The 1732-nt window shown below is 33.9% G+C and overlaps 1 annotated feature.

Moving 5' to 3' along the window:
• Positions 710-1004: an enhancer, noted in NCBI's record as "tiled region #4515; K562 Activating DNase matched - State 5:Enh". NCBI's record gives its function as "activates a minimal TATA promoter and a strong SV40 promoter by Sharpr-MPRA in K562 cells {active_cell/tissue: K562}" and the evidence as "EXISTENCE:reporter gene assay evidence [ECO:0000049][PMID:27701403]".

Raw genomic sequence — 1732 nt, forward strand, 5'->3', positions numbered from 1 at the left:
CTTTGAGTAAAGAATCTTGGAATATTTTATTTACATTGTCTTGCTTAGGATCCTCTGCATTGCTGTTTATAAGGAAGTCCTAAAATTCTGAAACCCAGAAATTGGGAAAAGTGAAAAGCAACTTTTCTTGTGCCGACTATTGGGAGTGCTGATTTGGGTAGAGAGGTAGATAGAGATGAGGTCGGCGAAATAAACAAGGAACTAGTTGTGCAAGGCCTTGAATGTAAGGTTAAAAATTATCAAAAATTGTATGTATGCGTGTTGCCTTGGATTCAAGGAGTTAGGTGAAAATATTGATTTAATGATAATCACATGAGACCATGGATTGATAAATTAGAGATAAAAAACCACATGAAATGGCAAGTGTACCCTACACCATCATGCGGACTACTGTGCTGGGAGATTCAGAAGATGTAAGTCAACAACTGTTCTTTTCTTGTATGACATCAACACACAGAACAGCACCTGTATTATAACAGCACCTGTGTATTTAAAACAGTACTAAAGTGCCCGTGATATATTCAGAAGAAAATGACAAAGACAGAGAAACAAATAAGTAAGCACTTACATCGCCAAATTGTGTTCCCAAAAAGTAAGGGACAATAAGTGGTTTGAAATTAAATGAATGATAAAAGTGTTGGAGAGAATGAGTGTGTGGGTAAAGACTTCCAAATTGGGGAAATTGTATGCAATAGATTGCAAGGTGAGAGAGCAGCAAAGATGTTAGCAAAGCAATAGAGTGGCAGTGGTTATGAGATTATAGGGAAACGAAGCACTAGTTATAACCACCGCTTAAGAGTTACATCTTAAAAAGCTGAGTCACTTCAGGGACTAAAATAAAATGTCATGTGCTGATGACTGCAATGACTGCACATAGGAAGGGTGACCAGCAGCAGTGGGAAATGCAGTGAATTCATTTTGTTTGAATAGAATTTGTGGTGGGAGAAGAGTTAAAAGCAGTTTGCTACAATGTTTTAACATATCTGAAGATCAGCGGAAAGGAAGAGGGATATAAGAAAGGTGGGGAAATACAGTCTGAATTGTAAAGATGAAAGGATTGTTTCTTTTGCAGTGGAGTAAAATAGAGTTTGAGGCACTTAATTGGTATAAGACTTTTCAGATGTAGACATAACAAGGCATGTTTCCTACACTAATGGCAAATATAGAGAAAGTAGCAAACAAAATTATTTTCTTCTGTTCTTGATTATTTAAAACTTGGAAAGAAAGGCTTAATTATGCTATAAATATCAGGTGCTGAGTAATCCTTTTCTATAACAATTTAAAAAAATAAAACATTATTTCCACAATGTCAAAAAGTTTTGAAGATTTATTGCCAGTATTAACAATATAACGAATGTATTTAAAGGGTGCAATTTTTTTGGCTCCATATTTAAAGCCTCAGCCTATATCACTCTTAATGTGATATAATATGACAGTGTTTTAAATTAATAAATAATTTACAATATTGATGTGCAAGTACAAAACCATGATGCATAACCAAGTTACTTTTTAATATGTAAAACACTGAGTTTATAGAATCTACATCTTTGAGTAATGAATGTGTTTTTCTCTTTAGCATATTGCTGTAAATCAAGTTAATCTGTGAGCAGGATAGGAAGTTACAGAAAATTTAAAATCTTCATTTAGCTTCTCTTCTTAAGGATTATGACATCTAGAAAAGCTTAAAGAGGTATTCTGTCACATGAAACACCTTTTGCTAAAGAAAACCTTC

The sequence above is a fragment of the Homo sapiens genome, chromosome 3, assembly GCF_000001405.40.
Source record: "Homo sapiens chromosome 3, GRCh38.p14 Primary Assembly".
NCBI classification, from domain to species: domain Eukaryota; kingdom Metazoa; phylum Chordata; class Mammalia; order Primates; family Hominidae; genus Homo; species Homo sapiens.